Genomic DNA, 17,534 nt, shown 5'->3' with positions numbered 1-17,534 from the left:
TTTAAACACAGCTTACACACACACACAAAACTAACAATGCTGAGTGTCTGAGTCCGGCATGGGAAAGAGACCACACATAGACTGTTTTGTGCCTTTTCAACTTTGCACCATGGACATGTATTATTGATTTTATACAATTTAATAAAACTAAAACCAAAATAAAAGTAGGTTCCAGTTTTCTATCCGTAGAGGCAAAGTTCTTTTGAGGGTAGCCTCTTGTTTGAGAAAAGTCATTTTAACAAGTCTTTGAATTTAAGCAGAGACAAAGGACAAATCCTATCACAGAAAGGAAAATTTGAGGGCAACTGGAAGAAAAATGGCCCCTCCAGTCTGAATTCAAGGCCTGCCTTCTCTGCAAGAGCAAAGACAGCTCCCCAGAAATTATTACAGCAACCATTGGGCCTGAGCCTGAGGAGGGGTAGTTACTGGTTTGAGTTCTCTCTCTCCTGGAGGGGAGGAATGGCCACCCCTGAAGCCTGATGAGACTGGGGCTGGGGAGGGCAGACTGTGAACTTATCAGCATTCCTGGGGGCTTCCCAGAAATCCTTGGGGTAGGGGCCAGAGTTGTACAAACTACACAGAACTGAGGCTTGGGGTACACTGATACACGCGTTAAAAGGCATGGGGGACCCCTGAAGACAGCAGGCCCGCAGACCCGTGTCCCCACAGCACCTGCCCACTGAGAGCAATGGCAATGTGCTGCATGCTGGGTAATGAGTCACCGCAGTGAGGCCCTTCCAGGGACAAGTACTGCCAGGACCAGGGTGGTGTTGGCATCTGGGTGGAGAAGGAACATTTTCCAAAGCCTGGAAAGGGCCTCTATGGCTTCAAAAGTGCTCCAAGAGCTTTTCTCCTACCCTAGAGGGTCATTTTCCCGAACCACAAAGAGCCAGTGACTGCAGAATGAATCAGAAGTGCAAGCCCCGAACAGAGAATCGAACAGGGCTGTGCTACCCAGTGTCAGAGGGCAAGCTGGCTCCTCCCTCCTCCAGGAAGAAACTGGCCATCTGCCTGCAGAAAGAAGACTTGAGTCTCGGTTCTACCGCGGGAGCTCAGGCCAAGGGAGCTCAGACAGCCAGAAAACTTCTCTAGGCCTCAGTGTCCTCACCTGGAAAGCAAGGATAATCACGCTTCCCTTGTGAAGGTGAGAGGATGTCATTCTGCACAGGGCACGGCCACTGGCCCCTCCACTCCAGCTGGCCTGACTGAGGGCGGCACCGGGAGAGAGCTGTGAGTTGCAGCAGCAGCTGCAAAGGCTGGCATCTGCGCCCACAGACAGGCCAAGGAAGCTGGCACTGGGCCCCTGGCTTGATTCATAGTCCGTTTCTAGGTGTGGCCACCAATGCCAGGACAGGCGCCCCCTGAGCCCCCGTGCTCCTTCCAGAGAAGAGAGTCAACAGACATTTAAAGAAACTTCTCACCCCAAACAGCCGCATGGGTGGGATTTGCACAGCCAGTGAAGCTGGATGTTCTCCTAAATGGATCTACAGACTTCAAGCCACTCTGGGGAGTGACCTACACTTTGAGATGAAAACTCCCTGTACTTCCTGTCTGCACTATACAATTTATCGGGCAAATGTTGGATATGTTCCACCTTCTGTGGTTCTCTGGTGGCTTTATTTGTGGCCGGATGGCAGAGTGGCTAAGAGCACATCTGGAGTTGGACAGTTATGGGTGTGAATCCTGGCTGTGTGGCCTTGGACAAGTTGCCTAACCTCTCTGGGCCTCGGGGATGGCATCTGTAAAATAAGACTACCTCGCGCAATCAGATGGACGAAAATAAAGCACTCAGTTCAAAGATGCTTAGTACAGAAAGAACTCTCAGACACTCAACTGTATTCTGCAGGAAGGCAGGGCCTGCCCGTCAGTCTGAATCTCCTCTAGGTCATGGCATAGTGCTGGTCACATAGCTCTACCAGGCTTTACTTTTTAAAAGTGATCCCACCCAAACAGCAGGCACCATTCTCAAGGAAAAGCAACTCTAAAAGCTCGACACAGGCTTCTGAGCTGTCCCCTCCCCACCCAGAATTCCAATCAAGGGCTTGGCATGGAAGCCCTTCTGGAAGCTCTTCATGCCCATCACCACTTCCAGAAGCTTCTGCCTCAGCAGTGTGTATGAGTAGGGCTGGGGCAGGGGACCCAGGCAGGGAAGGGAGTGGTGGGAAGGTGGGAGACAGTGGCTGGGGAGGAGAACCCAGTGCAGGAAGCTGGAGTGCTGACCTGGCCCTGCTACATGGGGTGTGCGGGTCCCCTTGCAGGACTTGGGGCACTGAGGTCATCAGGAGAACCATAGAGGGCAGACAGCAGGTGGGCGGCAGACAGTGAGACTCAGTGATGTCATGTTTTCCCCAAATGACTCAATGGTTTGCCCTGGGCTATGAATGGTGAGCTGTATGCTGTAGCCTCCAGTCCTCCCTACCCTCCAGGCCCGCCTGGCATCTCTCCCCGTCTCCACCCTGCCCCAGGGACCCACAGTTGCCACATTCCTGCTCTGCTCCTGGCTGCGGCCCCAGCCCAGGGCTCATCCCTGTGATGCCCCTGCCATGTCTCTCCAATCTTCACTTTGAGGGAAGACTCAAGCGACAGCAGACCTGGGTGTTATTACTGGCTCTGACTCTCCCTGACTGAGTGACTTTAGGCAGGTTACTCAACCTCTCTGAGCCTCAGTTTCCTCATCTGTGAAATGGAGACATTGCTAACAACCTTGCCGGGTTGTAGGGGGCTTGGTGAGAATGACTGTGAAGAATCTGGCACATGGCAGGTGCTTAGTGAATGGAAAGAATGACATTCAAGGGCCTCTATGATCTGACCTCAATTTCCTTTTCTAGCTGCATTAAAACATATACCTATATAATAATAGCTCACCCTTCCTGATGCTCAGTGTGCCAGGCACTGCTCTCAACACTTGTATAGAAATACATTTTATTCCCATGTCTTCCCCATGTGGGGGGTACCAGTAGTGAGAAAACTGAGCTCAGAGAAGGTAAGCAACTTGGCCACGGCCACACAGCCAGTAAGTGGGGAGTTGGGGTTCCCGTGAAGGCAGCCCGGCTCTAGAGCCTGTGTGCGTAACCACAACTCCATCCTGCCTGTCTCTCCTCGTGTATCCTATACATTTCAGTTCAGTCCAGCCAGACTCCTCACCAGTCCCTGTCTTCAATCGGAACTTTCCCATCCTCGTGCCTTTGCCCAGCTTCCCTCATGCACTGGAATGCCTGCCTCCTCTAGGAAGGCTTCCCCAAGTCTTCCCTCATGTCCACCTCTGTGGGCTCATCACAGTGGGACTCAAAGGTGGTTACTGGGGCACCCAGCTCTCCTCTCTTCCAGCTTGAAAGTCCCTCCTGTTATCCCACCATCTTGCAGTGTCAGCATGAGCATAGGCGCGCAGGACCTGGACAGGTGATGCCCAAGAACCCAGCACTCTGTGCCCCACTACTTTTGCAAGGACAGACAGCTTGAGGGCTGGAGGTGGGGCCACAGAACAGTTCTACCCACCCCTGGGGAGGCAGCCGGCCAGTAGGGCTTCCTTCTCTCTGCTCAGGGAAACGACTCAGCCACGGCAGGCCTCGTTACTTGCAGATGGGAACTGGACCCTGGGGCTGTTGAATGGCTCTCCACTTGCTGGTGGGGTTGAGCAGTGGGCCCAGAGTGCAGCCAGCCACCAGCCCAAAAACGGGCATCCAGGGCAGGCAGGCAGACAAGTGGCAGGACTGGAGGGGCTTCTGGAAGGGTTTCAGGCTCATCCTCAGTATCCCAGCCCAATACCCATGGGGTAATGACCTCAAGAGGCCATGTGCCGGGGTCCCACTCTTCCTGTCTGTCCCTTCCTTGGCCCACGTTAGCCACCCCTCCCGCTCACCACGACTCCTGCCACCCTCCCCAGACTCGAAGCGCTCCCTCACAGAAGCATCCTGGACTGGGCCTGCCCCACTGAGGGCTCTGTGCCACATCAGTCACTCATTCCTTCCATAATCAGGTAGCAGCATTCACTGCTAAGTCGGGGGCTACAAGGATGGACAAGGCAGACAGCTGTCCTGCCCTTGCACATCCCATTGCCTGGTGCAGACCACAGATCACTGAACCAGCAATCATAATACCACAGGCAAAGGGCAGTGAGGGGGACCTGTGGGCAGCCATGGGGAGGGCCACCACCCAGGCTTCCAGGAGAAGGTGGCATCCAAGCCAAGGGGAAAAGGGGGAAGGAGGGAATGTTCTTGGCAGCTGGGAAGGCTACAGAGAGCAGGGTGTGTGTGTCTGGGAAATTAGGACAATTTGGAACATGGGATACCGAGTCCAGGTGAGGCTGGGGAAGAAATATTTGCTGAAAGGTCACAGGGCCAGACATCACTCGGGGTGGGGTTCCTGTCTTGCTGGAATGGCCACTAGGGAGGCAGAAGTCCCTGGATCTGCCAGCTCCCCCTTGCTAACTGAGACCACACTCGCTGCCATCTGCACCCTTCCTGTGACCAGGTCAGGGCACAGGGGAGTGGCATCAGCAGAGCGGGCAAAAGACCCTGAGGCAGGATCCAAAATGCCCTGCCCAGGGCAGCCGGCAGGTACTGGAGTCAGACCTGGAGAAGGCCGAGGCTCACTGGTAGTGCCCACAATAGGCCATGCAACGCCAACATTGCCAGAGCTTCCCAGTCAGAACGCAATGACATGCACTGGCCACGGTTTGAAAATGAATGCCTGTGTGCTGTTTCTCCTCTCGGTGCAGCCACAACGGGACAGACGCACGCACAGGTGGTACTGAGAGCACAGACTCTGGAGTCAGCTGTGGGGCTCAGGCCCGGCTTTGCCCCTCACCGGCTGTGGCATGTCAGCAACTTATCCAGCTGTCTGCCTCTGTCTTCCCATCTGTAAAATGGTGGGAATAACCGGAGCCACCTCTAGAGCTTCTGGTGAGAACTCGGTGAGGACGCCTTGTAGGTGCTCAGGGCAGTATTAGGCACACCAGCTGCTCTTACTATTATTGTTTCCTGGGCACGCTACCCCCAGGCACCTACACCAGATGCAAGAGAAGGAAGAAAAGTGAAAGAGAAATAGCATGTCTCGGTAAAAAGAAAGCAAGTGGGTGACCTGCGAGGTCACAGTCAGTTCTTCATCCTCTGGTGGGTGACACTGCTTCGTGACTGGCAGGTTCTAGATTTCTATTCTCGGGGCCTCTTCAGACACATCAAACCTGCAGGACAGGCCCTCAGCTTCTCTCCGTGTCTCTAACAAGCCCCTGGAAGTCTCCAGAGGAAAGCCAGGCACCTGCGGCCCTGCCCTGTGGCTGGAGTGAAATTCCTTGCTGAAAATCAGTGTAGTCACAGTGCGGGGACGGGGGTGGCCCAGTGTGTTTTCAAAATATTTCCTCAGATAGCACTGTTTGGCTCAGACACATTAGCACTTTCCAGAATCTTGCAGATGGCGAGGCAGCTGGAGAGGAAGGGAGGAGAGGAGGGGGAAGCGGGAAAGGGTAGGGGAGATGCCCAGGGCTAAATCTCAGGTAGCTGTGTGGGCTGGGGCTGGCACAGGCACAGGCGGGCATCGGCGCAGCATGTGTGAACAGGAACAGCACACACATGACAGAAAGCTGATCAACCTGCAGACTGGTCTGCAGACGGCTAAGCTGTGAAGCCGTCTTATGAACCAGAACTTTTTTCAGAAGCCCAATATGTAGAATACGAACATGTGGACGTGCGGAGCGCAGGACTCACCCCACAACCACCCTCTCCAGAAGCCTGGCAGCAGCAGAACAAAGCAGGAACCAGAACCTTCCAGCAGTGCCCCACTCCCCAAATCCCAGAGGCTTCAGGGCTCGCTGACTCAGCTCAGCACAGCCACAGAGAACGAGAAGGGCCCTCAGCCACTCCCTGGATGCAAGGTGAGGACCCTCCGCTGCCAAGCCCTGGCTCTCCCCCTTCTAACCGGGTGCCTGGTTTTAAAGTTGGTCACTAAGTAAATTGAAGTTATTAAGAGATGGAAAATGTGCTTCCTATCCCACAGACTTAGTCACTCAGAATAGTGCTTGAGTTTCTGGAAATCATTGGTGTGACCTTACACCACCACCCCTGAGCTGATAGGACTCCAGCCCAAAGCAAAGAAACCTGACATTTTTGTCCAGGTAGCCTACAAAGTAAATGAATCTATGAGGGTTTGCTCACAGGTAGGCCCCGTCTTGGAGAGACATAACGGGAAAATTAGCTTTGGTCTATCCACCCTAAAGCAATGTTTAAGAAGCAAAGCTTCTCAGATGCCACAAAATGGAGAAAAGTCTCATCATTCTGCACCATCAAAGTTAAACTCACCAACCAACCAAGACGTCACCGTCTGCCTGCTGGGGAGGGTCCAGGCTTGGGACTGACTCAGAGGGAGCAGGGCTGAGCTGGGACCCCCGGCCGTCTTCTCTCCCATATACATGTTCCTCCTGTGCCCAGCCACCAGCGTCCCTGCAGCACAAGGACTGGCCAGCGGAGGGTGTGTTCCCTGACTTTTGAGGCTCTTAAAGTTAAGGAGGAGGGACTGGGCGGGGAGGGGGCAGGTGTAACCACAGAGGCCAAATAAGAACATCCCGGGCTGGCCTCCGAGGTGGTTGTTTACTTGCGGCATTCAGGAGAGGCTGAACTGGGAACTGGCTTGTTTATTTTCCACACTTTTTCTCCAAATCCTTTTCATAGAGTCCTCTGAAACCTCAGTGATAAATTTCCTAGGGCCCAGGGAAGCCACAGTCCCTCAGCACACAGCCATCTTTGTGAGGAGGTGGTGGGGGGTGAGGGGGATCAAGAGGACGGAGGGCAGCTGGAGACAAGAAGTCACTGGTGGTCAGGGGCTCCCGGGGCCCACCCTGCCCTCCAAGCTGGTGGCGGCCCAGCAGCCACAGGCCAGATTTGGGGCAATAGAGACAGAGGGCTGAAGCGTGTCCACCGGCAAGCACAGAACAAACCGTCCAGGCCTGCCAGGGGCCACCCCACACCCCGCTGTGGAGTCCACGCGCTCAGGGTAGGACCAGCAGCATTCTGTCATCTCTTTAGGCCTTAGAGAAGAAAAGGTGGCAAATATCATTTCTGTTTAACGAATGAAAAGGAGAAGTGTCTCCTCTCCTGAGGCATAACCTCACGAAAGCCAGAGACTCTCTGAGTGTTCCTTCGCAGCAAAGACCCTCTCTGTGCCGCCACTCTAGGAGTTCCCAGCAGAAGCATTCACGGCCCCTCCTGGGGCTTCACCCAGCATCTGACTACATTTCCAAGAACTTCCCATGCCTCAGGCACTGGGATGGAACCAGGGGTACAAAGATGGACAGCCCCGGCCCCTGCAGTGGGGTGGCTTCTCCCCACACCCAGTCCCCCAACTTCCGTCCTGGTCACTGTGTCCCCTCTGCAGTGGAGGGGGAGAGGGCTCCAGTTTCTTTGCAGCTCAGCACTAGGAAGGCTCTAAGAACTCACCCAGGTGGGCTTCCTGTGGAAGGTGGGCAGGGATCAGCTGGGCAGTGCTCATCCAATGCTCTTTGCGTCCTTTGAAGGGCGCCAGCCTTTCCCGTTCTATGGACATCTGTACTGGGGGCTCTCAGGGCAGAGATGAGGGTGGGTGGAGCAGTGAGGACCCTGCCCCAGCAGGGATAACCACTCTCAGCCCTTGGGGCCGGGGATAGAAAATACCACCCCGACTGAAAACGTGGCTGTCCCAGGCCTTTGCAGATGCCTGGCTTCGTGACCTTGGGCATCCACTGCACCTCTCTGAGCCTCATGTCCTCATCTGTAAAGTGGGGCCAACAGATAATTGCTGTCTCCCTGTGGGGCGTGGATGTAAAAGCAAGAGCTGGGGACCAGATGAGCGTGTGGTTATCACCTCCCCTGGCTGCTCCGGCTCTGCCCCATTCTTCTCTCCTGTGGACCAGGTGCTGCTGAGGAGTCCAGCTCTCCAGAACACGTGGCAGGGGTGGGAAGGACAGCTGTGACATGGCCCCTTATGTTCACCAGGTAAATGACAATAGGAGGTGTCAGGTGAAGGCTGATTTCCCCAGGTAATAGATTACCCTGGAGAGGACCAAAAAGGGGAAAAAAATACAGTAACCCATTTGAGGATGTTTGGTCTACCTGGCAATTTCTTCCCTATTCACGGTATGGTCACAAGAGGCAGCTTTGTCCCAACTTCTCAGATAAGCAGTGAGTCATGTCTCACTGGAATTACTGCAACATCTCCCTGTGTGCCCCCCCAAAATCTCCACAGTTTTCTGACTCCAGAGCCACACAGAAGGCTCCAGCAGCCTGGTACCACCCAGCCTTTGATTCCCACAGCCTAAGGTATATCCAGGCTCGGCAGAGTGTATGGAAAAAGAAGAATGCAAGCAGAGGCCCTGGGACCACGTTAGTAAGAAGCATCAGGGCTGTTTCCCTGTTGCCATGGAGAACCAATAAGGGCCTTGCAGACAGCCTGGCATGGTGGAGACAGGGTGGGTTCTGGAGTTAGACAATCTGGGTTCAAATACTGGCTTTGCAATTGCAGCAAAAACAAAAATTGACAAATGGGACCTAATTAAACTAAAGAGCCTCTGCACAGCAAAAGAAACTATCAACAGAGTAAACAGACAACCTACAGAACAGGAGAAAATATTTGCAAACTATGCATCCGACAAAAGTCTAATATCCAGAATCTATAAGGAACTTGAACAAGTTAACAAGCAAAAAACAACCCCATTAAAAAGTGGGCAAAGGACACAAACAGATACTTTTCAAAAGAAGACATACATGTGTCCAACAAACATATGAAAAAACGGTCAACATCACTAATCATTAGAAAAATGCAAATCAAAACCACAATGAGATACCATCTCATACCAGTCAGAATAGCTATTATTAAAAAGTCAAACATTAACAGATGCTGGCCAGGTTGTGGAGAAAAGGGAGTGCTGGCCAAGCGAGGCGGCTCATGCCTGTAATCCCAGCATTTTGCGGGGCTGAGGTGAGCAGATCACGAGGTCAGGAGATCGAGACCATTCTGGCCAACATGGTGAAACCTCGTCTCTACTAAAATACAAAAAAAAAAAAAAATTAGCCACGCATGGTGGTGCACGCCTATCAGGGGGCTGAGGCAGGGGAATTGCTTGAACCTGGGAGGTGGAAGTTGCAGTGAGCCAAGATCGCACCACTGTACTCCAGCCTGGTGACAGAGCAAGACTCCATCCCACCACTCCCACCAAAAACAAAAAACAAAAAACAGAGTGCTTATACACTGCTGATGGGTATGTAAATTAGTTCAGCCATTGTGGAAAGCAGTTTGGAGAGTTCTCAAAGAACTCAAAGTAGGATTACCATTCTACCAAGCAATCCCATTATTGGGTACATACCCAAAATAATATAAATTGTTCTACCATAAAGATACATGCACACGTATGTTTATCATAGCACTAGTCACAATAGCAAAAACATGAAATCAACCTAAATGCCCATCAACGGTAGACCAGATAAAGAAATGTGGTACATATATACCATGAAATACTATGTAGCCATAAAAGAGAATGAGATCATGTCCTTTGCAGCAACATGGATGGAGTTAGCGGCTATTATCCTAAGCAAACTAACACAGGAACAGAAAATCAAGTGCCCCATGCTCTCACTTAGAAGTGGGAGCTAAACATTGGGTACATCTGAACGCAAAGAAGGGAACAACAGACACCAGGACCTACTTGAGGGTGGAGACAGTGGGGAGGGTGAGGATCAAAAACCACCCATCTCGGGCCTGTGCAGTGTGTCAGACCTGTAATCCCAGCACTTTGGGAGGTGGAGGCAGGCAGATCGCTAGAGCTCCAGAGTTTGAGACCAGCCTGGGCAACATGGTAAAACCCTGTCTCTACAAAAAATACAAAAAAATTAGTCAGGCATGGTGGTGCCAGCTACTCGGGAGGCTGGGGCAGGAGGATCACCTGAGTCCAGGAGGTCGAGGCTATGGTGAGTGGCAGTGATCGTGCCACTGCACTCCTGCCTGAGCAATAGAGACCCTGTCTCAAACAAACCCAACAACTACCTATTGGGTACTATGCTTACTACCTGGATGATGAAATAATCTGTACACCAAACCCCCATGGCATACAATTTACCTATGTAACAAACCTGTATACGTACCTCTGAACCTAACATAAAGTTTAAAAAAACCAAATACACAAACACTGGCTTTGTCTCTCACTACCTGTGTGACATTGAAAAAGTTACTTAACTTTTCTGGTCCTCAGTTTCCTAATCTGCAAAATGGAGATGAAATGCTAACCTCATAGGGATATAATGATTTAATTAGAAAATGTATACAGAACTCTCGATTCACAGAGGGCATAATGAAGGTGGAAAGGTGATATAGGGAAGGAACTGGCTGCAGGGTTCCACCTGAAATTGGGGGTGCCCAAGCCCAGATCACCTCCTCTTTCATCTGAGGCCAGTCCTTGGTGCCGCCCACATGCCTTGCTAATTTCAGCATTTAGAAGTTTGAAATGCACACTGAACCTAGTCAGAGCTCTTCACAAGGGGGCAGGGGTGGGGAATGACACATTTCTTTTGGATGACATGCCCAGGCCACCCCCACATCTTTGTGCACTCTCAATCCCAAGACTACTGGCAATCCAGTTCCAGGAACACGAATGTTTCTGCTCCTCTGGGAAACTCATGCAAGCTGGCACAGGAGAACCCACAGCAATACTCAGTACAGGGACTGTGACCACTGCTCTACCTGCTGCCACCACAGAGCCAAGCCACTGCTGCAGAACACAGCTCCTAGACCCTTCATGAGACCCATCTCCAGCCAGGCCATCAGGAGCCAGGAAGAAAAACGGCTGCCCCCAAATTCTACATGTTCCCATGTTCCTCCTACCCCCAGCACATGCCCAGCAGCACGGCCCATCTCTTTCTCCACTTACCCACCCCTCTTCTCCAGCAGCCAGGAGATGGGAGGGTTGATGGAACCAACCCCTCTCTCTGCTGCAGATCTAAAGTTATTCTTCAATTGAGACCCCACAGAATCTGCCAAACAGCCTGCCATCTACCAAAACCCACATCAACCCCATCTTAGCCAGATACAGAAATGAAGCTTTTCCTGCTGCCCTCTTAGAGGGGCAGAGGCCAATGATGAGCTCCAGTCTCCCAAGGCCAGCCCACGGGACACAGTGGAACACACAGTGCCTGGGCCACTGGCCCAAGCAGATCAGGCAGGGCTCCTAGGAGCTACTCAGGCCCCCTTCTCTGCTGGAAAATCAATTTCAACCCAGCAGAGGCCCACTGGCCTTGCCGCACAGTGAGTCCATAATGAATGATAATTACCGGTGTCATTATTCATCAAGCAAGTACTGACTGAGTGCCCACTGTGCCAGGCACTATGCTAGGCCCAGGACAATCCCCCGTACATCCTGGGGCCCAGCAACACCACGCATCAGAAACCAAACACAACTTCAGGTGCAAGGAAAATAATGAAGGCGTCAGGCCTGCCTTGGTTTCTCCCTAACCTTTTAGGCTTAAATCCCCCCACCTCCCCTTACCCCGTCCACACCCAGGACTGGAATCTGCTCACCCGGTTCCCTTGGAAGTCCCTGGAGGAAGCACATCCGCTGGGGGGAAGGGTCCCTGCTTCCCTGGAAGACTGTCACGGCCACTACCCTTCTGTCTAGCGCAGCAACGGCCTGCCAGCCTCTTCCACGCTGCTCACAGACCCTGGCACGCCGGCTCTGAGTTTATGAATCACTCCCTCCTCTCTCCGGGCCTCGCCTCCGGAAGGGCTTCGCACACTCACACATCACCCAGACACCGAGTTTCCACACCAAATTCGCTCCTGCAGAACTCCGAGAACCGACTGCAACATCTGCTCCCCTTGGTCTCGGGGTTCTGGCCACAAGTTTTCAAAACCCAGGCAGCCTCTCTCCTGCCCGCTGCGCTTTGGGGGCTCCCTCTCCTTGGGGGCTGCGGGGGCAGCAGACAAAGGCCGTGGATGTGACGGAGGGGTGTGAGGACGTGCCTGCTGTAGAGGCCAAATCCCCCGCGCTCCCAGGAATGTGCATTTCGGTGTGTGGCATGTGCCTGGCCGGTGTGGGTGTGCGCAGATCAGCCTGCGCCGTGTGCGGGGTATGAGTGGCGATGAGCTGTGTGTACCTGGCAGGTGTGATCCGGTTGCAGCGGGTTGTGGGTGCCTGCCTGGGCTTTTCCCCGAGCTGGGAACTCCACCTCCCACCGTCCGCTTCGCCCCCTTCTCCCTCCAAAGTCTGGCGCGCGCGCCTGGACGCGGAAGGCGGGGGCTCCCGGCTGGGCGGCCTCCCCCGGGCTGGGCGGCGGTTCCAGGACGCCGGCGCCCCACTTACCCCGGCCGCCGAGACTCCACCGGCGGCCCCGACCCTCCGCGGCTGGGGTCCGGCGCGGGCAGCATCCGCTCGCAACTTCGCTTTCCTCCTGGAAGATCCCGGCAGAAGCGGTTCCGCGGCCCCGGCGCCCGCGCGGCCCGAGCTGTGCGTCTTCTCCGGGGCGGGCCGGAGGGATGGAGGCGCTGCGGGGCCGGTCGGCACGCTGGAAGGGAAGCGGCGCCAGGCGGGCGCCGTCCTGCGCAGCGAGCCTGCGAGAGGTCCTGCCTGGCGCCCTCCCCGCTCAGGCCCGAGCCGGCTAGCGGCGGCGGATTCCTGAACCGCGTCCAAGGCGTCCGGGAGCCCTTCTCCTCCTCCTCCTCCTCTTCCTCACCCCACCCAGCTCCCACCCCTGCGCGCCCGGCAACTTGGGAACCGTTGGCGAAGTTGGCGCTGCTCGGGCCGCGAGCCGGCCGGGCCTCTGGGGGAGGAAGGGGAGGAGAAGGAGGAGCTGGCGGGAGAGGAGAGGAGGGGAGAGAGGGGAGAGAGGGGAGCCGCCCCCGGGGAGCCGCTGTCTCCAGGACCCCTCTGCGGGCCTTTGTTCCGGGCGCTGCCCCTCGGCCCTCCAGTCCCCGGGGACTCGCTTGGGGCCGCTCGGGTATCCACGCTCTCCTGGCGAGGCTGGTGGGTGGAGGCTGCTTGGAGAACCCCCTTGGCTTCTCCGTGCCGGAGCGCCCGGGGCCGTTACGGCCGCCCCCTCCCCCGACCTTTGCCAGGGAGACCCTCTGGCTGCACGGGTTCCCCATCATCTCTGCCCGGAGAGGATCTTCCTGCTCCCCCCTGGGGCAAGTGGGCTGGAGGACGGTTTCCCTGGTTCCAAAGAACAGAGCACCGTCTCCCTGGGCGGCAGCAGGTCCCACATCCGCCCTCCTGCACTTTCCTGCGCCGCCAGCCAGTCCAAGGCTCCCCTAATTCAAGAACTGGGAAACGGGAGGGACAGAGGGTCTTCCCGGCCCGCCAGGGCTGCCTGGCATTATCTTCGGACCCTCCCAGGCAGCTGGGTCTCCGGCCGGGCTGCCAGGCAAGTGGGGTCCCAGTCGCCTCCCGTGCATGGCGTGGTCGGCTGGGCAGCACCGGCTGCGGGGTGCAAAGGCCAGCTTCTCGAGGGATGAGGTAAAGGGCTCAGAACTGGAACACAAACCGAACCTCCCTGTTCCTTTCCGAATCCTGGTGATGGCCCTGTCCCCGAGAAGGCGAGAACGTCTTGGATTCCACTTGCTGGGCATTCCTCCTGGGACTTCCAGTACGTAACGTCATGAGCTAATTCAGGCCTAAGACAGCACTCCTGACATTTAATGGGATAGTATGGGGTTTAGACAATAAGTTATTTCCTGTACAGGAGAAGTAGGAAAATCCAAAAAAGCTAAAACCTGATTATCTACACTTGGCCTCCCTCTGCCATTCTCAGCATTTACAGATGGACAGCAAATAGAGAACCAGATAGAACTAATCCTGACCCTGTTAGGGACAAGTTGCCCCAGGAACCCCCCGCCCCACACACAATGCAGCTGACCCTTACCCTGAATACTCCGAAGCTGCATTCCTGGACCCTTATCTAGGTGCTACAGCAAGGTCACCAGACTTGCTTACAGCCCAACAGGCAGCATGGGGAAGGTCACGAGAAATGTGGATAAACTTAAGTTACACCCTCTTCTAAATTCCTATATTGTAAGCGGTCACGAGATGATATGTGGTAAAGTTAACCGACAACCCCAGGGTCTCTCTCCCCCATATGAACCCCTCATTTTATAAGCTCCAGGGCTGCCTCCTCTGACTGTGGTGGAGCAGCCCGGCAGGATAAACTTACTCGCCTAACTTTGGGTCTCTCTCTTGTCCTTTCTCTCAGCTAACGTTACATTTTGGTGCCGAAACCCAGGAAGGGGACAGGCTCTGGCTGCGTGTCCTTAGAGGTGTCTCTCTCTCTCTCCCTCTCCCCCCTCCCCTCTCTCTCTCCTATCACCCCTCACCCAAGGGCCTTGTCCAGAATAGAGGAGACCTGAAGGACACCTGACTCGGTGGCTGCCTCTATTCCAGACAAGGCCTGCAGGACAGGGGACACCCTCTCTCGCCATCCTTGTCATCTGCAGTCTCTTCTTCCTCTACCCCCCACCCTCCATTCACTATGGGAGCCTCTCAGTCTACCCATCCCAAGACCACCCGCCTTGGCTGTCTCCTCTGCAATCTCAAGGCTCTCAGCCTCCATTCAGAGGTCCGTTCTAAGAGACTTATCTTTTACTGCAATACCACTTGGCCTCAATACCAATTGGACAATGGCTCCCAATGGCCTGAAAATGGCACTTTTGATTTCAATATACTTAGAGACTTAGACGACTTTTGCCATCGCAGTGGGAAATGGTCTGAGATTCCTTATGTTCAGGCTTTCTTCACTCTCCGTAACCGCCCTTCCCTCTGCCAGTACTGCTCCACTTTCCAAATCCTACTCACCAGACTTGTCTCCCACCACCCCCGTCTCCCACCACCCCCGCAACAGCCCCAGCCGACAACTCCTCTTTCTTTGACCCCGCCAATTTTGCCCCTCCCTGACAGCATCTTGATCCTCCACCAGAGCATCATGATTCTTCACGGTATGTCCCTGCTCTGGCTCTACCCATCTGTCCCCCTCTCTCCAACCACCCCGCTTCTGACTCTGAGTCCTCTCCATCTCCACCCCTCACCCGCTCTTGGGCCCAACATACTCAGCAACCAGTTCCCTTGCTTCCTCTCTGGGAAGTAGCAGGAGCAAGGGGATCATCCGTGTCCATTTCCCTTTCTCCCTCTCCAATCTCTCACAGATTGAAAAACGTCTCAGGTCCTTCTCCTCCGATCCTGATACTTATATCAAAGAATTTAAATATCTTACCCAATCTTATGAACTCACTTGGCATGATCTCTACATTATCCTCTCTTCTATACTCTCCTTCCAGAAGAGAAGGAAAGAGTGTGGCTTGTAGCACAGGCACACACTGACGATCTTCATGGGCAAGATCCTGCTAAGCCCATAGGAGCCACTGCTGTTCCCCAGGAAGAGCCTTCCTGGGAGTACCAACCCACAGACCCCAGCTGGGCGTCTGTAACTATATGATTACTTGCCTCATTGCAGGCCTTAACAAAGCTGCCGGGTAATGGCCAGGCGCTATGGCTCACACCTGTAATCCCAAAACTTTGGGAGGTCGAGGTGGGCGGATCACGAGGTCAGGAAATCGAGACCATCCTGGCTAACACCGTGAAACCACGTCTCTGGACTCTTCAGAGGACTCTTCCCAGAGTCCTCTCTTCCTGCTGTAGCTCATGATAGATTTTCAGATGTTTGGTGGGCACTCATACAGGCACCTGATTGTTACCTGAGAGACACAAGCAAATCCTATTCCCCATATAATTATCCACCCTTTGATTAAATTTAAAGGGCTATGTCACTCTCATATGAGTGACATAGAAAGGGGAATGCCTTTGTTGTACTGCTTGCTGTAAAGAATGAAATAAAAGATTAAGTTGGTCATTAGTCACATTTTGAATTAAGGCACATTCAATATTTTGTGTGGCTTGCACTACATAGGCTGAATCAGAAACAGTGTTTATTGGCTGTTTAAAAGTTTTTAACACTGTTATCACAGCCATAAGTTCAGCATTTTGAGCAGAAGCAAAGTCAGTTTGAAAAACTTGTTGTTGAGGTCCCACAAATGAGGCCTTTCCATTACTAGATCCATCAGTAAAAACAGTAATGGCCCCTTCAATAGGGGCTTTTTGAGTAATGGAAGGCAATATCCATGATATTAATTTAAGAAATTGGAATATTTTGGATTTAGGATAATGATTACCAAGAATGCCAATAAAACCTGCCAAATTAATTTGCCATTCCTGGGAATTAATATAAGCTTGCTGAATTTGTTGTTTGTTTAATGGAAGTATAATTTGATTTGGATCATATCCCATTAACTTTGTTGTGCACAGCCTTGCACACTACATTAATACAGCAACTTGATCTAAGTACAGAGTAAGCGTTTTGGTTGTATTGTGAGGTACAAAAAGCCGCTCAACCAGATCATTCTGTTGAACAATAATTCCTGTACGTGAATGTTTAGTAGGAAAAACTAAAAACTGTAATGACTGCAATGGGTCAACTCGAGTCACTTGTGCCTGTGGAAATTTTTCTTCAATTAATTGAAGTTTCTCTAATGCCTCCTTGGACAGGGAGTGTTTACTGTTTAAGTTAGAATCACCTCGTAAGGTAGAAAAGAGGTGAGACATAACATAAGTAGGACTGCCTAAAGTGGGATGAATCCAATTAATGTCTCCTAATAATTTTTGAAAATCATTAGAGGTTTTAAATTATCTCTTCTAATTTGAATGTTTTGAGGCTTAATAGTACTTTGTTCTACTTTCATTCCTAAATACTGAAAGGGAGTAGAAGTTTGGATTTTATCAGGGGCTATGATTAACCTTGCTGCTGTTACAGCCTTTTCCTCCCTAGTTTCAGCTGCACATAAAATATCATCCATGTAATGGATAATATAACATTTATTGAATTGTTCTCTAGCTGGCTTAATACCTTTTCTGACATAAGTTTGACAAATAGTAATACTTTCCAATGGTATTTGTCTGCTGGTTCTTTGTTATTTATAGCGGGAACAGTAAAAGCAAATTTTTCCTAATCTTGGGTAGCTAAAGGAATGGTAAAGAAGCAATCTTTTAAATTTATCACTATTAGAGGCCAGGATTTAGGAATCATAGTTGGGGAGGGCAGCTCTGGTTGCAGTGCACCCATGGGTAGAATGACAGCATTAACGGCCCTCAAATCTGTTAACATTCTCCATTTCTGGGATTTTTTCTTAATAACAAACACAGGAGAATTCCAAGGAGAGAGAGTAGGCTCTGTGTGTCCCTTTTGTAATTGTTTCTGTACCAATTATTTTAAAGCCTCCAGTTTTTCCTGTTTCAGTGGCCATTGCTCCACCCAAACTGGTTTAGCAGTTAACCAAACAAGAGGAATGGGAGCCGGAGGCTCAGCAATGGCCGTTCCTAAAAATGATACCCTAATCCAGTTTGATCTGTTTGTCCTTTTAGTTCTAAATGTTCTGGTTGGCCATTTTCATTTTTTCCTAGTCCCTTCCCTGGGAGATATCCCATTTTTCTCATCATTTGTTTACCGTTAATACTATACTGATCAATAGGAATAGGTATTTCAGCA

At 52.4% G+C, this 17,534-nt stretch overlaps 1 protein-coding gene across 4 annotated transcripts in view, besides 3 other annotated features; it reads right to left on the bottom strand.

Annotated features, from left to right (window-relative positions):
• CHST3 (carbohydrate sulfotransferase 3) overlaps window positions 1-12,613 on the bottom strand; it is a 49,164-nt gene extending 36,551 nt beyond the window's left edge. The window contains exon 1 of one of the 4 annotated variants that reach the window (NM_004273.5): window positions 12,314-12,613. The gene's annotated coding sequence lies outside the window, so the exon portion shown is untranslated. Of the gene's footprint in view, window positions 1-6,293; window positions 6,455-11,532; window positions 11,668-12,107; window positions 12,210-12,313 lie in introns of those variants that run through there. The other 3 variants (NM_001441202.1, NM_001441201.1, XM_011540369.3) reach the window with 3 other exon arrangements.
• Window positions 3,078-3,577: an enhancer, noted in NCBI's record as "H3K4me1 hESC enhancer chr10:73733189-73733688 (GRCh37/hg19 assembly coordinates)". NCBI's record gives its function as "activates a minimal SCP1, AML or CMV promoter by ChIP-STARR-seq in primed H9 embryonic stem cells {active_cell/tissue: H9 hESC(primed)}" and the evidence as "EXISTENCE:reporter gene assay evidence [ECO:0000049][PMID:30033119]".
• Window positions 6,340-6,883: an enhancer, noted in NCBI's record as "H3K4me1 hESC enhancer chr10:73729883-73730426 (GRCh37/hg19 assembly coordinates)". NCBI's record gives its function as "activates a minimal SCP1, AML or CMV promoter by ChIP-STARR-seq in primed H9 embryonic stem cells {active_cell/tissue: H9 hESC(primed)}" and the evidence as "EXISTENCE:reporter gene assay evidence [ECO:0000049][PMID:30033119]".
• Window positions 6,884-7,427: an enhancer, noted in NCBI's record as "H3K4me1 hESC enhancer chr10:73729339-73729882 (GRCh37/hg19 assembly coordinates)". NCBI's record gives its function as "activates a minimal SCP1, AML or CMV promoter by ChIP-STARR-seq in naive H9 embryonic stem cells {active_cell/tissue: H9 hESC(naive)}" and the evidence as "EXISTENCE:reporter gene assay evidence [ECO:0000049][PMID:30033119]".

The sequence above is a fragment of the Homo sapiens genome, chromosome 10 (genome assembly GCF_000001405.40).
Source record: "Homo sapiens chromosome 10, GRCh38.p14 Primary Assembly".
Taxonomy (NCBI): domain Eukaryota; kingdom Metazoa; phylum Chordata; class Mammalia; order Primates; family Hominidae; genus Homo; species Homo sapiens.
The sequence above is the reverse complement of the archived record's forward strand: the minus strand, read 5'-3'. Positions and strand labels throughout refer to the sequence as shown.